General features: G+C 35.7%; 1 protein-coding gene and 1 pseudogene across 10 annotated transcripts in view; both read right to left on the minus strand.

Annotated features, from left to right (window-relative positions):
• The window catches only part of GFM2 (GTP dependent ribosome recycling factor mitochondrial 2), a 45,912-nt gene that overhangs the window by 3,363 nt on the left and 21,253 nt on the right, over positions 1-21,296 (minus strand). For 4 of the 10 annotated variants that reach the window (NM_032380.5, NM_001281302.2, XM_017009986.2 and 1 more), the window contains 10 exons: positions 21,110-21,289; positions 16,961-17,041; positions 15,421-15,569; positions 13,934-14,074; positions 13,750-13,849; positions 12,228-12,417; positions 8,454-8,530; positions 5,692-5,830; positions 1,373-1,558; positions 1,072-1,187 (listed from right to left, as the gene is read on the minus strand). In NM_032380.5, the coding sequence (NP_115756.2) occupies positions 1,072-1,187; positions 1,373-1,558; positions 5,692-5,830; positions 8,454-8,530; positions 12,228-12,417; positions 13,750-13,849; positions 13,934-14,074; positions 15,421-15,569; positions 16,961-17,041; positions 21,110-21,289 (1,359 nt within the window). Of the gene's footprint in view, positions 1-1,071; positions 1,188-1,372; positions 1,559-5,691; positions 5,831-5,858; positions 6,208-8,453; positions 8,531-11,775; positions 12,418-13,749; positions 13,850-13,933; positions 14,075-15,420; positions 15,570-16,960; positions 17,042-21,109; positions 21,290-21,296 lie in introns of those variants that run through there. The other 6 variants (NM_170691.3, XM_047417835.1, XM_047417834.1 and 3 more) reach the window with 4 other exon arrangements.
• On the minus strand, positions 532-636 carry RNU6-658P (RNA, U6 small nuclear 658, pseudogene; annotated as a pseudogene).

The raw sequence follows: 21,296 nt of genomic DNA on the forward strand, positions 1-21,296 counted from the left end.
CTTAGGTGAACAATATTTAAACTTTTTTCAAAGCTTTGTTTTTAATCAAAAAGCTTTTTAAGAAGTATAAATTTAAACTCATGTCGAAGAGATATCAAGTTTGGCTTTCTTAGGTTAGGGGTTTGGAATACTTAAATTAACTTTGTAATTTCGGATTCAAATAAAACTACAGAAAATTGGGTCTCAAACACAGTCCAAGTATTAAAAAATGGCTATAAAACCAAGTATAAATAATGCAAAAGCAATCACCTAAGAAATTAGGGTAGTTCAATGCTGAGAAGAATGCATGGAATCAGCATTCAGCATACCACACTCCTGGGAGTTAATCCAGTTCTGGTAGGTTCATGAGGCAGGAAGCGGAGGGTCCACGACACTTAAGGACAAACTCCCCAGATAACCACACCAAGAAGACCCATTGCTTGATGCTTTGAGAAGAGAAGGTGCTTAGCCTGAATCTGTTATTCAGTGGGACTTAACTGGTTTCAATGGTCCTTGATTAAAGCAATCTTTATAATTTAATATAAGTAGAGAAATATATGGAACTCTATAAGAATTTGCATGTCATCCTTGTGCAGGGCCATGCTAATCTTCTCTGTATCGTTCCAATTTTAGTATATGTGCTGCTGAAGCAAGCACTAAAGCAATCTTATTTGAATAACAATCTCCAAAACTGGAACCAATATTGGATCTTCAGTGTTCTTTAGATTACAGTCCATTTTGGGCCAAGCTAACCTCAAATCTGGCTTCTACTCAAACCTACCATGCTTGCCTCTAATAGCTGTCTGTCAGGGATGGGGAAAGCAGAAATGTCACTTAAGGAAGCTTGCCTCTTTATCAGAGTATATTCCAATAGCAATCCATGTTACATAGTAATTTCTAAGATCCTCTTTGAAATAAAAACCTGGTGATTAAGAAATCAGAGATTCTCCATGATAAGAACTCTTGTTGACCACAAGGCTGAGGAGGCAAAGACACAAGATAAGGCTCTGTAAACACAGCTGTCTGCAAGATCAGTGGTACTATACTCAGAAGAGTCACCTTAAAGCCATAAGGATTAGGATAGTTCTATACCTTTTGCACGCATCTTGAGACACAGGCAGAAATCATAGTTGTGGAGGTGCCAGGATGAATTGTCAGGGAATGTAAAGTAATTGCTACATCCTGAATTGGGGATCCAAGCAATGGTCCTAGACAAGGGAAAAAAATTGTATCATACTCTGCTAGATGTGAAGTGAGAAGTAACTGAGAAGTGCAAAGGAATAGGGAGAAAACACTAACAAAGTTAGGAAAAAGACTGAAATAATCTGTAATATAAGGAGTGATTAAATGGTTGAGTGGGATACTAATGCTTACTCTCATTTGAGTGTCTTACCTTGGAGACATGCGCTGTGAATTCCATTTTCAATGGCCTCTTGGGAGACCTTCAAAAGGCCTTCATTGATACTTTCAGCATACTCAAACTCAATCACAGGCATAACAGATGATGTTTCAATTGGCCTTGCTTCCACTTCTACAGTCACAAGATGCCTTTTGTCTCCTAAAGTTCTATCTAAGGTATCTGTAAACAAATTGAATATGGCACCTCAGAGATTAATTCTGGAAAGGTATCAAGGTACTATAAACAGCAAAATTATCATCAACAAGCTCAGGGTCTCATACAAGATAAAGTGGGAGAGAATATTAACAATGGCACTAAATACAGTATAAAAATCAGAGTAAAGAGCTCTACCAACAAAGCATCTGCTTCTGTGTTGATCAATGTTAAAAACCTGCTCTGTATCACCTATTGTTTTAACATTAAGATATGTTGAGGCACATGTTACGAAGATTATACTTTTAAACTTTTCAAAATGTCTTGTAGGTGATTGAAATCCTCTTAGTTACAAACTTTTATATTAAAAAAATTAAATGATAAAACCTTTACAAATATAAAAGGTAAGCTAATGAAAATTAAACGACTTTAAATCCTGACAACCCACAAAATGTTTTATATTGTGTATTTTTCCAGCAATATTTTATGCACTTACTGTTTACAATTTCTTTCCCAAAAAACCAGTAAAGTGTTTTTGGTAAGATTGAAAACAGCATCTCTTATTTGCTAAAAACCAACAATCTCCAATATTTTACTATGTCTGTTACCAATCTCCAATATTTTACTAAAACAAAACTATGCCATATTTATGTGAGGGACCATGTAATGCAGTGATTCATGGCCCAAATTCAAAACTAAGAATTATAGTCTATAATTCTTCATAATTCCTTTGTATGCTTACGTTTTATACTGTGAAACATTTTCTATTTAAAATTATACAGGCTGGATGTGGTGGCTTACACCTGTAATCCCACCCAGCACTTTGGGAAGCCAAAGTGGGAGGATTACTTGAGGCCAGGAATTTGAGACTAGCCTGGGCAATATAGCAAGACTCCGTCTCTGTAAAAAATAATAAAAATTAGCTGAGTATGGTAGTGCACACCTGTAGTCCTAGCTACTTGGGAGACTGAGGCGGGAGGATTGCTGGAGCCCAGGAGTTCAAGGCTACAGTCAGCTAAGATCTTGCCATTGTATGCCAGCCTGCTCAACAGAGCAAGACATTGTCTCAATATATACATGTTTATATATAAATATACGTTTATATATGAGTATATACATATTTATGTACAAGCTAAAAATGAGCATTCATGAAACCTAAAACTACTAAAGAGAGTATTACCAATATTTAGATGCCTTCTGAAGCAACCACTATCATATGTTATCCTCATTATTTTCTTTAGTGTTATATCACATATGCATGTATTTCTAAGCAATAGTTTACTTCTGCTTCATTTTAAATTTGTTATGCCATATGTATACGGCAACTTTTTTGTTCTATGTGTTTGGGAGAGTCGTCTGCACTATTTTCCGACTCCAGCCCTACTCCCCAACTTCTAACAGTCAGCACTTGGCATTCCACTATGAGGAAGACCCCTCCCTCTTCTTCCCTATTTACCTATGTATTATTATAAGTATGAACTTAGAAACTATTTTTTCCCAATGGTCTATACTTGGTATTCAAATTAATCCAGATTTGGCCAGCAGAGTCTCTTCAAGCTGGTTCCTGTGTCCTTATATACCCCCTCACCATCATTTTTTGACCATTTCCTCTCTCACACATAGCATGATATTCCATTATCCTTTCTTATGTTTTATTTCATTTTTAATTAACAAATAATTGTATATATTTATGGGGTATGTGATGTTTCAATACATGTATACATCGTGGAATGATAAAAATCAGGCAAATTAACATCTATCATGTCAAAAAACTTATTTCTTTGTACTGAGATTTAAAATATAAATTATTAACTATAGTCACTGTGCTGTGTAACAGATCATGAGAACCTATTTCTCCTGTCCAGCTGAAACTCCGTACCCCACTTCATCAACATCTCTCCTTTCCCCAGCTTTCCAATCCTCAGCCTCTGGTAGCCATCATTCTACTCTTCTACAAGTTAGACTTTTAAAAGTTCCACATATGTGAGATCATGCCCATCGCACCTATTTTTGATCGTTTCTTGTTCCTTACTAACACAAGTGGCCCTTGAATAATGTGGGGGCTAGGCGTGCTAAACCCCCATGCAGTAAAAAATACATGCCTAAATTTTGACTCCCCTGAAACTTAACTACTATAGAATACTGTTAACAGGAAGACTTACCAACAAATAAACAGTCAATTAACACGTTACATGTATTTTATATTGTATTTTTACAATAAACTAGAAAAAAAAGTTACCAAGAAAATCGTAAGAGAAAATATATTTACTATTTATTAAGTAAAAGTAGAACATCATAAAGGTCTTTATCCTCGTCATCTTTGCACTGAATAGCCTGAGGAGTAAGAAAAGGAGGGGTTTGGCTTGCTGTCTGAGGGATGGCAAAGGCAGGACAATAATCCATGTGTAAGTGTACCTGCATACATACTTTAAACCCATGTTGTTCAAGGGTCAACTGTACTTTCTATCGCCTCTCTTATTTCTTCAAAGATAGTATTTTATATTCTACATCTCATAATTCCAATAACTGAAGCCTTTGCTGGTATGACTACCTATTGTTTCTATTGCCTTTTTGCTCATTGTGCTTTTTCTCATGGTTTTCTGATTTAATTTTATTATGAGTTAATATTCTTTTATGTGTGGGGGTTTCTTTTTTTTTTTTTTTTTTTTTTTTTTGAGATGGCGTCTCACTCTGTTGCCTGGGTTGGAGTGTAATGGCACGATCTCAGCTCACTGCAACTTCGCCTCTGGGATTCAAGCAATTCTCCTGCCTCATCCTCCTGAGTAGCTGGGATTATAGGCACTCGCCACCATTCCCAGCTAGTTTTTGTATTTTTAGTAGAAACGGGGTCACCATATTGGCCAGGCTGGTCTCGAACTCCAGACTTCGTGATCTGCCCACCTCAGCTTCCCAAAGTGCTGGGATTACAGGCGTGAGCCACCAGACCTGGCCATGTGTGGCATCTGAGGCCTGGGTTGATGATATCTTTGGAGAAGCCCTTTTTTCCAGGTTCCTTGGGATACTACCAAGCCATGAGCACTTTACACTAAAGAACTAAGTTCTTCTTGGTCTGGAGTTTTTCAGGGCACACTGGTTCTATGAACTTAGGCTAAAGACCTGTATCAGAAGCCTATGATTACAAATTCTCAGAAATCTTGTTCCCTTACCATACAGCCAGACAAGCAAGTTTCCTTGCCCTCTGCTTTTGTGGAAAGGACTTTTCCTAGTTAATTCTTTCCATGAGGATATGGCTCTCAAGCACTAGGTTAGAGACAATTACAGATTCTTCCAGAATAACTCTAGCCTATAGTGCTGACTTATTTTCCCAGATTACTACTCCTACTTCCTTTTTGACTTCTGGAAAATTCTATTACATTCTAGTCAGCTCAGACATTAAAAGTTGTTATTTTGAGTTCTCTAGCATTTTTAGTTTTTCCAGATAAACAGTCCAGAAAGAGAACGCCTCATGCTATTTGCTCCTGTATTCTGCTTAATTTTTCAAGTTTCAGTGAAATGTAACCATCAGGACTTCTCACAAACTAATGAGGAACTTGAAAGTACCTGGTTATCCTAAACGTCTTTTTTTTTTTTTTTTTAAACAATTTCCCACAAACCTTTCCACACTTTCTTCTTGGGGGTGAGTAGCAATAATTGTTGTCATGTTTTTTGGCTTAAGGGAACCAAATTAAAATCATATGCAGAAAAATTGTGAGTTTTTACATTTGGGAATAGAAGTATAAAAACTATAGTTTCTCAAGATTACTATCAGCATAGAATAATCATATTTATTAAGTACTGAAACTGACTTTCTACTTTTACTTTATAGAGTAAAAATAACACATTGACTTCAAATTCTTAGACTAGTTCTGATAGTGAGGACTGGGACAAGCCATCGACTTCAGTGGCTTACTCTATTCCATGACCACTGAAAAGGACACTTGGTTGATGAGTGGTCATCCAGGAGATGTTATGGCTGATAATCAAATAGGGCTTTCTGTATTCAAAACAAAATCCTAAAAAAACAAAAAAACCCCACATACATAAAAACTGTCTCCTCTGATAGAAGACATTAGTGACTATGAACACTGCTTTCAGCAACTAAATAGAGAAAGAAAGACAGAAAGAGAGAAAAAGCAAATCCTAAATGTTTTACTTTTTACCTGTGGCACGAACTGAGTTTAGGATGGTCTCTCGATATGCCACCTGGAGAGGCCCGAGATAGGTCTCCAGTCCATATTCCCTCTTGATTCGATCATGAATAATCTCTATATGTAACTCCCCCATACCACACAGAACAGTCTGGTTACCAGAGGAATGAAATAAAAGATTAAGGGTAAATTATATTTATTGCAGAATACTATATAAAAGTATGATGTTAATACATACTTATTTTTAATTAATTACAGTTTCCTTTGTAATTCTTTTTGGCCCGGGGCTTTTACATCAAAACATTGCTTTTGACTTTTCTGACTGGAATAATGAATCAATAAACAATGAATTACCTGGCCATTCTCTCCTTCTTCTTTGATAGTTGAATTATCTGCTGGGCAAGTAGCATCTGGCTAAGACTAATGATGCCAACACTTAGCTAAATACCAACACTTCCCAACCGCAAAGCCAAATTTCTGGCCAATGGAAGATGAATATAATTGATGTGGACAGCTTCTGGGTGGTGCCTATAAGAGGAGGGTAAAGCCCCTTTTATTTTTTATTTATTTATTTATTTATTTTGAGATGGAGTTTCGCTCTTGTTGCCCAGGCTGGAGTGCAATGGCATGATCTCGGCTCACTGCAACCTCCACCTCCCAGGTTCGAATGATTCTCCTGCCTCAGCCTCCCAAGCAGCTGGGATTACAGGCATGTGCCACCACACCTGGCTAATTTTGTATTTTTAGTAGAGATGGGGTTTCTCCATGTTGGTCAGGCTGGTCTCGAACTCGTGACCTCAGGTAATCCACCTGCCTCGGCCTCCCAAAGAGGTGGGATTACAGGCGTGAGCCACCGCACCCGGCCAAAGCCCCTTTCTTAACGAAAATGTAGGCAACTGTCATGACACATCAGAATGAGGGCTATACCTTGTAAATGGGGGGAATAACCTTTCTAAAAAACCTTTCCCAACAACATGGGCATTTCCCAATCATCCAGGGCACTTTACAGCTTTGTAAGCAGTCAAAACCTTCAGACTAGCTTGAACCTTCATATGAGGGAGAAACTGACTTTTATCTTTTTTGAACCAATGAAGACTAAAGGTATTAGCGTATTAGCTTGAATCTATGGAAGGGACTGGAGACTAAAGGTCAACTACATGGACAGTATGATCAAGCCCCAATAATAATTCTGGCCACCAAAGGCTCGGGTGAGCTTCCCTGGTTGGCAATACTCTGCCAAGAGGGTAACATGTCCCTGAGGATAAAGGAAGCATTGCAAATGTTTAAAACCCTCCCAGACTTTGCTCTAAGTGTCTCTTTGGCTGATCCTAATTTAAATCCTTTTGCTGTAATAAAACTGTAATCACAAATTTAAAAAAAAATCACTTGGTATAGGACTGCTATACTTTAAGTTAAAAAGTGAACTATTTGGGGAAAATAGTTGTAAAATAATACAAATAAAATGACTTGTTTATAGGTATCTGTACATATATACTTGCAAAACTATATTATGCTGCTGCATAACAGCACAGCAGAAGAACATATGTTTGGGTAAAAAGTGTGAAAGGCTATTCACCAAGTTTTCAGTGGTTATTCTGCAGAATGAGATGGAGGAACAGAGAAACGGACTTAATTATTTACTTGGTAGATTTGTGTATTATTTGCTTTTTTTTTTTTTAAACGTAGTGCCAGTTTTTATTTTATTTATTTTTATTTATTTTTTTCAAGACAGGGTCTCGCTCTGTCACCCAGACTAGAGTGCAGTGGTATGATCACAGCTCACTGTGGCCTTGACCTCCCAGGTTTAAGCAACCTTCCCACCTCAGCATCCTGAGTCGCTGGGACCACAGGTGTATGCCATCATGCCTGGCTAATTTTTAATTTTTTTTTTTTTTTTTTTTTTTTGTAGAGACAGGGTTTCCTTATGTTGCCCAGGCTGGTCTTGAACTCCTGGGCTCAAGCAATCCTCCCAAAGTGCTGGGATTACATTTCAATTATTTAAATAATAGGTTTTTTAAAATAAAACATTTCTGTTTTAATTACTGTTATCATACTCTTCAGTATCAATTAAACTAAATTACTACCTCATTTGGCTGGCATTTTGGGAAAACAAAGTACTCCATGCTTTTCCAGGTTAACTAAATCAGTTTATCCTTTTTAAAGATAAATTTATAACCTTTTTAAGAAACTCCTTCTAAAATCTTATGTAAACATTACCCTGTCCTCCTAAAAAGAGGATGCAGAATGTAATTTAATCATTTCTTGATGAATCAAAACATCTGTTCTACTGTGCTATATTATACAGCACAGTTCTGCACCTACTTTAAAACTCCACTTCCTCTCACAGTGTTACATTGTAATCTATCACTTCTCTCCCATTTTAGGTGTTTTACTGTCTTCAAAAGCACCTTCCAATCCTCCTTCTAGTATGCTTCTTTTATAAGCCTTAACGTAAAAGGCTCAAGGCTTTGCCTTGATTAAACCTTATTTCAAAATTTCACAAAAAGCTGTCTTCAGGAATGGTAAAAAATGTTGGGAAATAGTTTATAAATGTGAAGTGTAATTATATAAGGAAAATTTGCTTATTTAGCTTGATAGTCAACATAAAAGCAGAAATTTGTATTATGAGAGAATTTAAAAAGAAAGGTTTTTCTTTCAGGACACAGACTTAATGTTTTAGACACACACACACACACACACACACACACACACACACACACACACACACACACTCTTATAGAAAGGCTTCTGGAGTTTAGCAATAATATACCTACTTGTCCAGAGTCAGGATCTAGCCTCACTTTCAAACTGGGATCTTCACGCTGAAGACATTTCAACGCATGTTCCAAATCTATGGGATAAACAACTGTTATCTTTACATTTCATTTTTTAAATAATTTATTATATGTTCTAGTGGGTAAAACAGATGGATAAGCAAACAAATTTTGAAAAAGAAATTTCGACCAGGTGTGGTGACTCACGTCTGTAATCCCAGCACTTTGGGAAGCCAAGACAGAATGATCGCTTGAGCCCAGGAGTTTGCGACCAGCCTGGGCAACATGGCGAAACCCCGTCTTTACAAAAAAAGAAAAAAAAAAAAAGACAATTTCAAACAGCCATACATACTGCAGAGACAAAAAGAAGCTGATATAATAATAATAATGGGAGGCTACCTGAGACTGAGTGGTCTAGGAAGGCCTCTCCAGGATGACTTGAGACAGAAATGAACAAACTATAAGCAAAATCCTGAAGAAAAGGAATCCCAGATAGAGGGAATGGCTATACAAGGAACAATCTGCTGTTGGGAAAAAGAGCAAGAAGACTAGCAGCTAGAGATCAGTGGGCAAAAGGAAGAATAGCATCAGATGAGGAAGGAGATGTGTGGCAGGGATCATATCATGTAAGGTCTTGTAGGCCATGATGAAAAGTTTGGGTTTGCACTGCGAAGCCACTGAAAGGTTTTAAGAGGAACAGTAACATCATCTGATTTTATTTTCCAAATATCAATTTAGGAGCTGACAAAAAAGTAAAATGCCTTCAGAAAAACTGGCAATAATGAAGTGCCAAAAGGAGGCTAAAATTACATCATGAATAAACAGGTACTAGTATAACTCTATGATGAATTATCACAACCATTGCGAAAATAATGTATATTTTAGATGGCATTAAGTATGCCATCTAAAGTGATATTTTAATACACTCAATTAACTGATAAGTATACTCTCCCTCTTTTTATAAAAGAAATATGTTAGAAGTTCCACAGACAAAGTGTAGCTAAAGAAAAGAGCTGAGCACTGGATTAATGAGCTAACCTTATCAGTCACACATTCAAAGTATCTTAGGTATACAAACCAGGCCTTTTAGACCCACACTATCCAAATGGTAACCACAGCCATTTGGGGGTATTAATGTTATGAACTGCCAGATGCTGTAAATGTAAAATAAACACCAGGTTTCTGAGACTTACTGTGAAAAAAAGAATGTAAAATATCTCAGTAATATTAATAATTTTAATATTGTAAATATTAGTAATTTTAATATTGATATATTGAAGTAATATTTTGATATATTATGAAAATTTATTTCACCAGTTTGTTTGATGTGGCTATAAGAAAATTTTATATTACATATGTAGGTCACATTATATTTCTACTAGACAATACTGTTCTAGACCCTTGACATCCCAAAGTGGGCTCCAAGGACCAGCAACACTGGTAATGCCTGGAGTCTGACAGAAATGCGGAATCTTAGGTTCTGGACCTACTGAGTCAGAGTCTACATTTTAACAAGAATCCCAAGAGATGTGTATGTACGTTCAAGGTTAAGAGGCATTATTGTAGATAATATTTTATTTTAAGCACATACAGATACTCAAACAGAGTACATGCGTATGACACTAAGTGACTTTTGGAATAAAAATAACTTTTACTGTAAAATAAATTATTTTAAAATATTTGTGATGTTAGCATTGTAACAGGTATCGAGGGTTATAACTGGACCATGGGGTAAGTACAATAAAAGCACAAAAAAGAAACATGTAGATCTGCTTGAAAGAAGTCTAAGTAAGGGAGCTTTGGTAAATCCCTTCCTCTTGGGGGCTTAGGACCCCTGAGCTAATGCCCATTAATGAGACTTTGGATACCACACTTTTTCTCCTAAAGTAGTTAAAGGCTTGAGTTCTTAGATGCAAAACTGGCTGGTGCAATTTCACTGCAAGCCCACAATTTGAATTTAGGTGCTCATGCTGCATCTGAAATATAAAATGACTCTCAAATATATTTCAAAGAATCCATGGGTTACTTTGTTTGGGCAGCCCCTGCTCTTAAATGCCTGGCCACTCCTGATACAACCAGCTTGGTTAACTTTGATATACTTAGGCAGCCAGATGCATCATCACCTGATCCTTTTCCACTAGAATAAAAACTATACTTAACTGTCCTCAAGGCATTTAAAGTAACAGAAAAATTGCTGTTAGGCCCATTTTAACTTAAATGCTATTCCTTCAGCAAGTGGACACAAAAAGACTCAGTTTCAGTTTCCTTCAGTACTGGGGGCTGTCTTACATCTATATTCAGATTTCTTTCATGTGAACTCCATTTGGGGAGGTGAGCAACTGTAACCTCTACTGGGCTAGGGATCTTCCTTCTTTCTCCCTACAGGGTCCTCAGGAAGACAAGGGGAGGCAATAGAGATTGCTTTTGTTCTCCCATAATCTGTGAGTCCAACTTGTTTTCAAAGGAAAGAGGGCTTCTAATGCCACTTCTAGAACTAGAAGGTCTGTCCTTAAACAAACAGTCTAATATAGGAATTCAGTGAGAGCCTCATAAAGTGTGATGCTTGAGGTGAGACCTAAAGAAAGGGTAAACCTTTTCCAGGCAGGTTAAGTTCATGGGCTACTATTATAATGCAAGAGAGAACAGAAGAAAAGAAATAGCGATGCAAAAAAGAGCACGGTACCTTCAGGAAATCACAATTATTTTACTGTGGGAGCATAAGGTGTGGCTAGGTACTATAGTTTTATTCTAATTTGGGTTAAAGAAGAGGGTCAAAATGAAGGCGGAAGTTTCACAAGAAATGAAGCCAGGCAAGAAGGCTGTGGCAGAGACTACTAGCAGCCTTCCACTCTACTCTGCTGCTGCCTACTTAAAAGGCTGCTTTTACCAGACTTCCTTGCAACAGGCTGCCATATGTCTCAGTGCTGGCCAATGACATAGAAGAAATCTTAAGAGAAAAGGGGTATTATCTTCTTCCTTCCCCTTACTCCTTTCTGTTGTCAGGAACTCCAAGGTGATGCCCAAGGCTCCAGGAGCTATGCACTCAGGCAGGACAAAAAGATTAGAGCCTGGATCCCTGATAACATTGTGGAGCCACTCTAATCCCTGACTACCAATTCAAGGCTTCTGTTAGGAGATAGAGAGAAATAAATTTTTGTCCTATTAAAGCAATTGTTATTTGGGGGTTTTCTGCTATATGTAACCAAATCTAATTGGAAATTATAATTGGAATCATGGGTTTTACATACCACACTAAAGAGTTTGGGTGTGTGCTAGAAGTAATGAGAAGCCACTGAAAAAAATCTGAGCTAAAATGCTAAAGAACAAAGTTACTAACAAAAGGTCAAACAAGATTATCCACAGTATATAAATATCTTCATTGAGTTCTAGAGGTTGAGGTAGAAAACAAGGTAAAACAGCATTTTTATACATGATGATGACAAACTGAATTGGTTATGAATCAGTTACTGTCTAATCTAATATACTAGAAGGGCAGTTCTAAGGCCAATTACTTAGAATCCCATAGATAGCACTACAAGAGTAAGGAAGAATATAATATGAGAAGAATGGCCAAGAAATAAGAAGAGAAAAAAATGAAGGCATTTGTAAAAATCAAAACATCTTAAAAAACAAGACCAACCACAAGAAATGTTTACCAATATATTCAGATAAAATTTACCTCAATCACATAAGAAATCTCTTGAGGGTATATTGCAACTATTTTATATAAATTATCAGCGCACTAATTAGTTGACACACTAAGACCATTTATACCTGGCTGCTTAGACAGTGATGGGGGTTCTATGGTACAGAAGAAAACAGGTTCTGGAATCTCCACTCCAGCCAATAAAAGTCTCTCTGCTTCATTGTTTTGTCTGTGCTTCTTTTCTCCCTCCCGTTCGGCTCTACGAGCTGCAGCTAATGCACTGGACTTGGATGAGACAATGGTGTCTCCAGTGGCAGTCTGCAAGCAAACAAGATGACTTGGAACGAAAGTGGCATTTAGCAAGCGCTCATCTTACACCAAGAACCACAATATAAGAAAACTTTTTTGTGGCCCTTTCTTTTCATCAGAACTTAAAAGAGAAATAAAATTCAAAAAGCTCATTAATAACTTTGCATAAGTAAAGCTAATTTAACTTGCATAAGAATTCTATCCAAAATACTGTTGTAATAAATTCTAACAAACAATAAAACACACACACATACACATCCAAAATCATTTGGCAAAACAAATGTACCTTCCTAAATTTTCAATCATGACAAGACAGGTTAGGGAGAAGTCCATTAGAGTGTTCTACCACCCATAAGAATTTATTCCTTTTTTACAGAAAATCTCCTATTAACTAAAATATATAATTAACCAGAATACCCTTAACTGTGCAGATTGCTGGCTTCCATGTAGAGCCCAATTATCTTTTAAAAACTGTAATTTCACTTCTAAACTTTTATATTGTGAAGTTCTGTGCCAGTTTCCTTCTCTGTAAAAACAATCCTACTGAAGCAATAGTCCCAATGTATTTGTAGAGCTTCTTCAAATACATACAAGGAGCTCCTGCCTTCAGGGAGATAGAGGGGACATTCCAATGCCAGAAGTCCAGTGACCAGCCTATAGGAATTTTCTACTGAAGGATCTTCAAACTTGAAACTAGTCATGAAGAGTTAAAATGTTTAAAATAACAATGCTTACTACATAAAGGTCAATGAGAAAATATTTGATTTAATCCATATAAATGAAATATCCTTAGTTTTAACCCATGAAAAATAAATACAACATCAAGTATTTTCATCGATTCATCCTACAATTATCTATGGAGTGTCTACTATATGCAAACACTGATCTATGGACTGTAGGGCATTGAACAAAAAAGACAAAAATCCTTGCTCTCATGGAGGCTTTACTAACAAAACATTATAACCTGATCAGTTATAAGTCTAGGTTAAATTTTTTGCAATGCTCAAGATAGGAATAAACCCAATGGGAACAAAACAATATTTTATATAAACTTAAAACACACATATATGTATATACATATATATCCATAAACAGTATGTTATTTTACTTGGATTTGAACTTTATATGAATACAATCCATCCCGTCTGTGGTCTTCCGTAATCTACTTTTCTTCCTAGTAAATGTATGAGATTCAGCCATGTTGACAAATATGCCATAATATTCTTTATTCTACTATTGATGGACATTTGGATTGTTTATGGGTTTTTGATATTACAAGTTGCTTACTTGTAATTAAATATTTAAGCTGTTATTTCCTAGAGAAATCATTTGGTCACTTACATGTTTAAGCCCAACAGTCAAAGCAATGTTACCAGCAGTCAATGAAGGGATTTCTACATGTTGGTCAGCAAACGGCAAAAGCAGACGACTTATTCTCTCCCTGTAAAATCACAATTTTATGTTAGTAAAAGTATTTTTAAAGAAGTGCATACAGTTTTATAAAATAATCTAAGCTTCTACTTACGTGCAGTTTCCATTAATATTATGAATGGCCAACTGGGGTTTTATAGTGCCTGAGTAAATGCGCATAAAAACCAGTGGTCCTCGCTGCTTGTCATGGAGAACTTTAAATGCCAATGCACATAAGTCATCCTTATACCACTGCCTATAAAATAAACATTCCAAAAAGGCCTATAAAATACACTTCCCATAACTGCAGAAACTTAACCTTAATGTCCCCAAAGATCTATTTTATCTTCTAGTAGAGCTACTTAGAGCCACTAAATAATGTCTTTGTTACGTAACTCTCTTCTTCCATTGACTAAATTACTCAATGGAGATCTTACCATTAATTCCTCAAAACTAAAAATAACAGATTCTCTTCCAAATATTACTTCTATTTGTGAATAATTTCATTGCCAAGAGCTCTCCCCATGAAGGCTATACCTGGGAATATCACACTACTTATCAAGAAATCTGCACAGGGTAAATAAATAGGTACTTTCCAATTACTGCTTTTACGCTCTCCTTCCACTTTCTGTCCATTACATAACCATAAAAATCTATACTATAAACTTGAAATTGTTCACATAACCAACACTCTTAACAGAATGATGTTCTTAAACTGGTAATCACTGGTAAGTTTTAGAATTGAGTTCTCCTGCAATTGCCAAATTTTGCGCATCTAAGGAGAGCTCCATATTTTCATTAGTTTCAAAGGAATTCCTGACTTAAAGTAGTTTAAACACTTCTATGACAGAACTTCTCCAATCTTATTCCCATTCCCTCCAATTTTTAACTTTAATACATACTAATATAGAGCTTACTATACCAGGCACTGTTCTTTGTGCTTTACTAATCATTTAATTCTTATAAGAACACCATGAGATAGGTCCTATTCTTTGCATTTTATAGATGAGATGTTAAGGAACTTGGAAAAGCTAGGATTTAAATCCAATAGTACAAAGCCTGTGCTCTTCACCATCATGCCTCTCCAATTTAGAGATATGAAAAGTTATTAATGTCAGGATTAAGATAATTAAAGTCCATTTCTCTGCCATTTTACACATTGCTTACTCAGATTTTAAAGGACTTATTACTTAAGTACAAAGCTTTTAGTGACAATAGGAGTAAAACAATGACCTTTCTTTATAGCCACAAAATATTTTGAGCTTATGAAAAATCCTGAAATCCAGATGAATATAACTATAGAATATTTAACAAACATCCCCAGGATATCACTTTTCTAAGACTAAGATGGCAGGGTCAACACTTACACTTTTACACAGTGAAAAGACATACCTCTTAGCTCTATGTGTAAGACATCTCTTTTTACAAGAGATGAAAAATGTTCCTTTCAAGCAAAAATTACTATGATTCCTTATTACATCATTTGCAATAACACTCACCACTATTATTCAAAAATGGTGATTTAACTACTTTTCATAAAAGTATTTGCCTACTTGTTTCTTCAAAGCTATAGAATTTTAATATATGTGATTGCATACTTACAGAAATTCATAGTTACGCTCTTCAGGTGAAGGTAAGTACATAGTAACAGCATCTAACAAGGGCTGTATCCCTTTGTTTTTCAGGGCACTTCCACAAAGCACAGGCACTGCTGTCTGAGCTAGTGTCACTCTATGTATTGCAGTCTGTAGCTACAGAGCAGAGATACAAATGAGCATTTATTTTGTGTACTGGTCTTGGCGAGAAGCTCAAAATTAGAGGTTTTCTCTAACCAGCCATGTAACCAGCACTCCTCATCACACCTTCATCATTTTGTTGGCTTAGTTTTTAACACTCATCACTATCTGGATGTTAGATATTTATTAGTTTATCTGTCTCCTATTCGCTAGAATGTAAAATCCATATAAGCATTACCCCTGGAAATACTGCTAAATCCCCAGCAACAAGAAAAGTGGTTAAAACAGGTGCTTAAAAATATTTCTTGAATAAATGAATATACTTGTGATTTAACCTTGATAGTCTAACAGAGGAACTGATCATAAATAAAATATGTAAATCTGAGTTACCATTTCTTCAAATAAATTAAATCCATATTAAACAAAATCCTAAGGGAAAAATGAGAAATCCAAGTAGGAAAATTTTTAGAAAGATTTCAAAAAACAAGAAAAGCTTGAGTGTGTTTGCAAGCTATTATTGGTGGGTCAATTCTACTTTAGATTGTGAGCTCTCTGAAAACATAAATCATGTTATGTGAAGATAGGGTACAATAAATATCACATTTAAACACTCAAAAATAAACAGTTTCAAAATTCACATTTCATTCAAAAGAAAAAATACTTTTTTTCATTCTAACTTATGAGTGGCTCAATAACATGTTTCAGCTCTTGTGTTTTTAATTCTTTTAATGACTACTAAGTGAATTTGCTAGGCTCATCTTTGGCTCATTTTACAGATTATTACTTAGAAATACTTTGCTTGGCAACTCTTACGTTTCATAAAGAAAAATAAACAGTAAATTTGCCAAATTCCATGGGGAAAGTCCCTGGCAGAACAAAACAGAGTTTCCTTCAAGAAATCTGTCATAATTCAGTTACTATCAATATTTTAATTGCCTCTTCTCTGGCTTACTGTATGTCAAAAGACAAAAACAAAGAACTGTAATGAGTTTCCATGAAAAATTTAAAAAGATTCAGAAAATAATGTTCTCAGAAAAATGGTAATTGTAGTAGCCTGAAACAACAGTAAATTTTAATATAAACTTTCTGTGATTTCCCTAAACATCCTTAGAGGAATTATCAGAATGAAAAGACTACAGAGAATGAGTAGTTAACTGATGCAGACTCAATAGAAGTTAAACAGATTCAATTTTTAATTTTGTAAAGTATATATGAAAGTAATAAATCACTGCCAATAAGTATTGTATTAGTAGTGACTTTAACTTAATGTTCTCCTAACTTTAAACTTACCACTTTCTAATAATATGCAAAGTTTAAAAAAAAAATGCACACACATCAAAGGCAGAGAAATCAAACTACATCCAATTAGTAAAATTTTGTGAAAGCCATTGAATAATAAAATTTACCTTTTCAGCTGGTAACAAATCAAAATTCTCACTAAATTCTTCTAAAACCAAGTCAGCAAATTCATCATCCAAATCTGCAACCTATAAAGAAAGGTTTTAGAGTTCTATAACTTGCATTTACTTTCATTAACTATTAATTTGTCCAAACACCATAAACAGACAATATTCAAATATTTCAAGACAGCTACCTTACCTAGGCCAAGCAACTCTTCACTTCTTCTAAAGAGATAAAGAAAAATGTTTTTCTTTGAAAGGAAAAGAAATGGAAAACTAAAGATACTATTAGGAGTTTCCTAAATTCACAGAAAGCCAGATCCTGATAAAGCATCTTAATTAAATGCTATCAGTGTGCTCAAAAGAAATCAAAGAAAATGTGCAACTTACAATGATAGCACATACAATGGATTGGCCTTTCTTAGATAAATCTGGAGGTTTTAGTTTATAAAAAAGTTTCATCTGGTTTTCCTCTAATATTCTGAATGTTCACCAGATCTCCCAAGACAGTCAAACTAAGAGAATTAATGTTGCTGTAATCCCGCACTGAAGAAATACATTTATGTTAGGGAAGGGAGGCGTAGGCAATATTTCAATAATAAAAATGCAATTGTCTATTTCACATTCTTTTCATGACCATCCGACTATACGAAATGGGATCATTCAGCTGACAAATTAATAAAACAGCTTCAAAAGCATATAACAGTACAAGGGAGCAAAACGTTCAAACTTGGTAAAAAAAAAAAAAACCACACTGTTAACAGGATTAAGTATAGCAGAAATGTACCTAACCATCCTTCTGGAAAGCATTATATGTGATGGTTAAGCTCAGCTTCTGGAATCAGACTACCTAGAAATGGTTCCACCACTTACCCACTTGTTCAAATTTTGGTCAAGTTATTTCACCTCTCTGCCTTAGTAACTCACAAAGATGATAGTAGTATCTACTTCTTGAGGCTGTTATAAAGATTAAATAATTCAAATTATGCTTTAAGAATATATACTAGTGTATAATAAGTATTAGCTATTATTACTGTGCACCTTCAATATTGGAAGTTGATTCTATTCCACACTAATCTTATCCACTAATTTAAAGGAAAATTTTAAATTATCGCAAAATATACACAACATAAAGTTTACCATTGTACTCTTTTTTTTTTTTGATACGGAGTCTGGCTCTGTCACCTAGGCTGGAGTGCAATGGTGCGATCTCAGCTCACTGCAACCTCTGCTTCCTGGGTTCAAGCGATTCTCCTGCTTCAGCCTCCTGAGTAGCTAGGATTACAGGCGCGTGCCACCACGCCCAGCTAATTTTTTTGTATTTTTAGTAGAGACAGGGTTTCACCATGTTGGTCACGCTGGTCTCAAACTCCTGACCTCGTGATCTGCCCACCTCAGCCTCCCAAAGTGCTGGGATTACAGGCATGAGCCACCACACCCAGCCCACTGTACTCTTGCACAGTTCAGTAGTGTTAAGTACTTTCACATTATTGCACAATAAATCTCCAGAACTCTTTTCAACTTGCAAAACAAACTCCATATACATTAATTAAACAACACTCTATTCTCTCTGCCCTTCCCCAGCCCATGGCAACTGCCATTCTACTTTCTGTCTCTGAATCTGATTACTCTGGATCCATGGATTTGGGTTGCTTCTACCTTTTGGCTATTGTGAAGAATGCTGCTAAGAACATGTGTGTGCAAATATCTCTTTGAGACTCTTTTCAATTCTTTTGAGTATATACCCAAAAAGTGGAACTGTTGGGTAATATAGTAACTCCATATTTAATTTTTTGAGGAATCGCCATATTGTTTTCCATAGTGGCCGCAACATTTACATTCCTACCAACAGTGCGCAAAGTTATAATTCTCCACACCTTTGCCAACACCTATTTTCTGTATTTGACAGTAGGCACCCTAATGGGTGTGAAGTAGTCTTATTCTGTAAATTTTATACATACTTATGTATTTCTTATAATTAGCATATTATTAGCTACTGACAGTCTCAGATTCTTTCTGAGATTTCTGTCACATACTATCACATCCTAGAAGACCATGAGACATGGGCAAGTGTGTGTTGGCTCCTCAACTAGATTACAAGATCCTTCTTAAGTTTATTCTTATAGCTCTTCTGTATTAAAACAACACAAACAAACTCAAAGAGGAATGAATTATTAATAAACGTCAATTCCACTTTTATATCTTCTATGCTCCCCAAATTAAAAAAGCAGTATAACAAAGCGGGTAAGAGCTTTAGCTCTAAACAGATTAACCTGGGTTCAGATTCTAGCTCAGCCACTTTATTAGCTGTGTGACAACTTATTTAAGCATTTGAGCTGCTGTTTCCCCATCTGTAAAATAGGGACAATATAAGGTTCTTGTGAGGGTTTAATTAAAAAGTATATGTAAAGCACTTAACCTAGCACACAGTAGGCCCTCATTAACTCAATAACAAAAATAACAATTATTATGTTAATGATAAAGTTGCAATGATTACTACATACAGTCAGGAATCAGTTAGTGACAGGGATAAGTTCTGAGAAATGTGGTGTTAGGTGATTTCGTCATTCTACCAACATCATAGAGTGTACTTACATAAACCTAGACGGCATAGCCTGCTTTTACACCAAGGCTATGGCCTATTACTCCTAGGCTACAAATCCATACAGCATGTTACTGTACTGAATACTGTAGGCAACTGTAACACAATGGTAAGTATTTGTGTATCTCAACATAGAAAAGGTACAGGAAAAATATAGTATTATAATCTTATGGCACTGTCAACATTCATGTGGTCTGTTGTTGACTAAAATGTCATCATGAAGTACATGACTATACTTAAAAAAAAAAACTATGTACAAAAGATAAGTGAAAAAAAAATGAATGCTGAATAAATTTATTTGGACCAATTCAATTTAGAAGTGAAAAATCAAGGGCTCTGATTCAAACGTTTTTCTCTACCATAATATTCAAGAAATTAAGGTATGTTTTATTTATTGCCATATATACTAACAATATAATATAAAATTACAAATATTAACAATCTTGCTATTTTGAAGATTATAATTTTGAAGGTGGATGAGGCCCAGAGCTATATACCAACTATAAAATTGATGGTTTTAAAATTTTCTAAATAATTTGACATCTGGTGAAAAGTAAAGTAAAAGACATGCATATCCTTTGACCTAACAATGCTACTCCTTAGTTTAATCCTAAAGAAACTATTGCCCATGTGCACAAGTAGATACAAAAATGTTCATAGCCACATTGTTTGTAACAGCAAAAAAGAGAAACAACCTCAAAGCCCATCCACAGGAGAATACCCAATAAAGTGTGGTAAAATCATATATTATAACAATATACAAGATTGAAATGAATAGATTATAACTACACATATTTGCAACATGGATAAAGTTCCAACAATGTTGAGCAATGTCATAAAATACAAACAGTAACATTTCATTTATGTAAAGTTCAAAACATGTAAACCTAAGTTCTTTAAGGATTTATGGTAAACTAAAGAAAAGCAAATGAGGCCCGGCGCAGTGGCTCACGCTGGTAATCCTAGCACTTTGGGACGCTGAGGTGGGCGATCACCTGAGGTCAGGGGTTCGAGACCAGCCTGGCCAACATGATGAAACCCCATCTCTACCAAAAAATAAAAATAAAAAAATTAGCTTGGAGTGGTGGTGCGTGCCTGTAATCCCAGCTACCCAGGAGGCTGAGGCAGGAGAATCACTGGAACCTGGGAGGTAGAGGCTGCAGTGAGCTGAGATTGTGCCACTGCACTCCAGCCTAGGCCGCAGAGCAAGACTCCATCTCAACGAAAAGCAAATGAAAGAGAAATATTGAAATAATAATTTGGGGGACAGGTAGATGATTAGTGGGAGAGAGAGATGAACAAAAAATGGCACATAGCATTTACATTGTATTAGGTATTATAAGTAATTTAGAAATGATTTAAAGTATAGAGGAAGACATCAATAGGTTATATGCAAATACTACATCATTTTATATCAGGGACTTGAGCATCTGCAGATTTTGGTATCCACAGGAGGTCCTGCAACCAATCCCCGAGAGATGCTAAAGTATGACTATATTTTAAGATAAGTGGTGCACACATTGGTGTTCATTTTATCATTCATTATACTTTACTTGTTCAATTAAGGCATTCCTTGCTTCAGTTGTTTCCTTCAGCAATTCAGGATCATTCATTTCCAAGAGGGGCTTTCTCTCAAAGTCTTTTCCATCATTTGAATTGCAATTCCAAAGAAGTTTTTCTTTCATTACTACATCCACCACTCCTTTGAAAGTTTTGGCTTCACCAATTGGTAACTGTAAG

Source organism: Homo sapiens, chromosome 5, assembly GCF_000001405.40.
Source record: "Homo sapiens chromosome 5, GRCh38.p14 Primary Assembly".
Taxonomy (NCBI): Eukaryota; Metazoa; Chordata; class Mammalia; order Primates; family Hominidae; genus Homo; species Homo sapiens.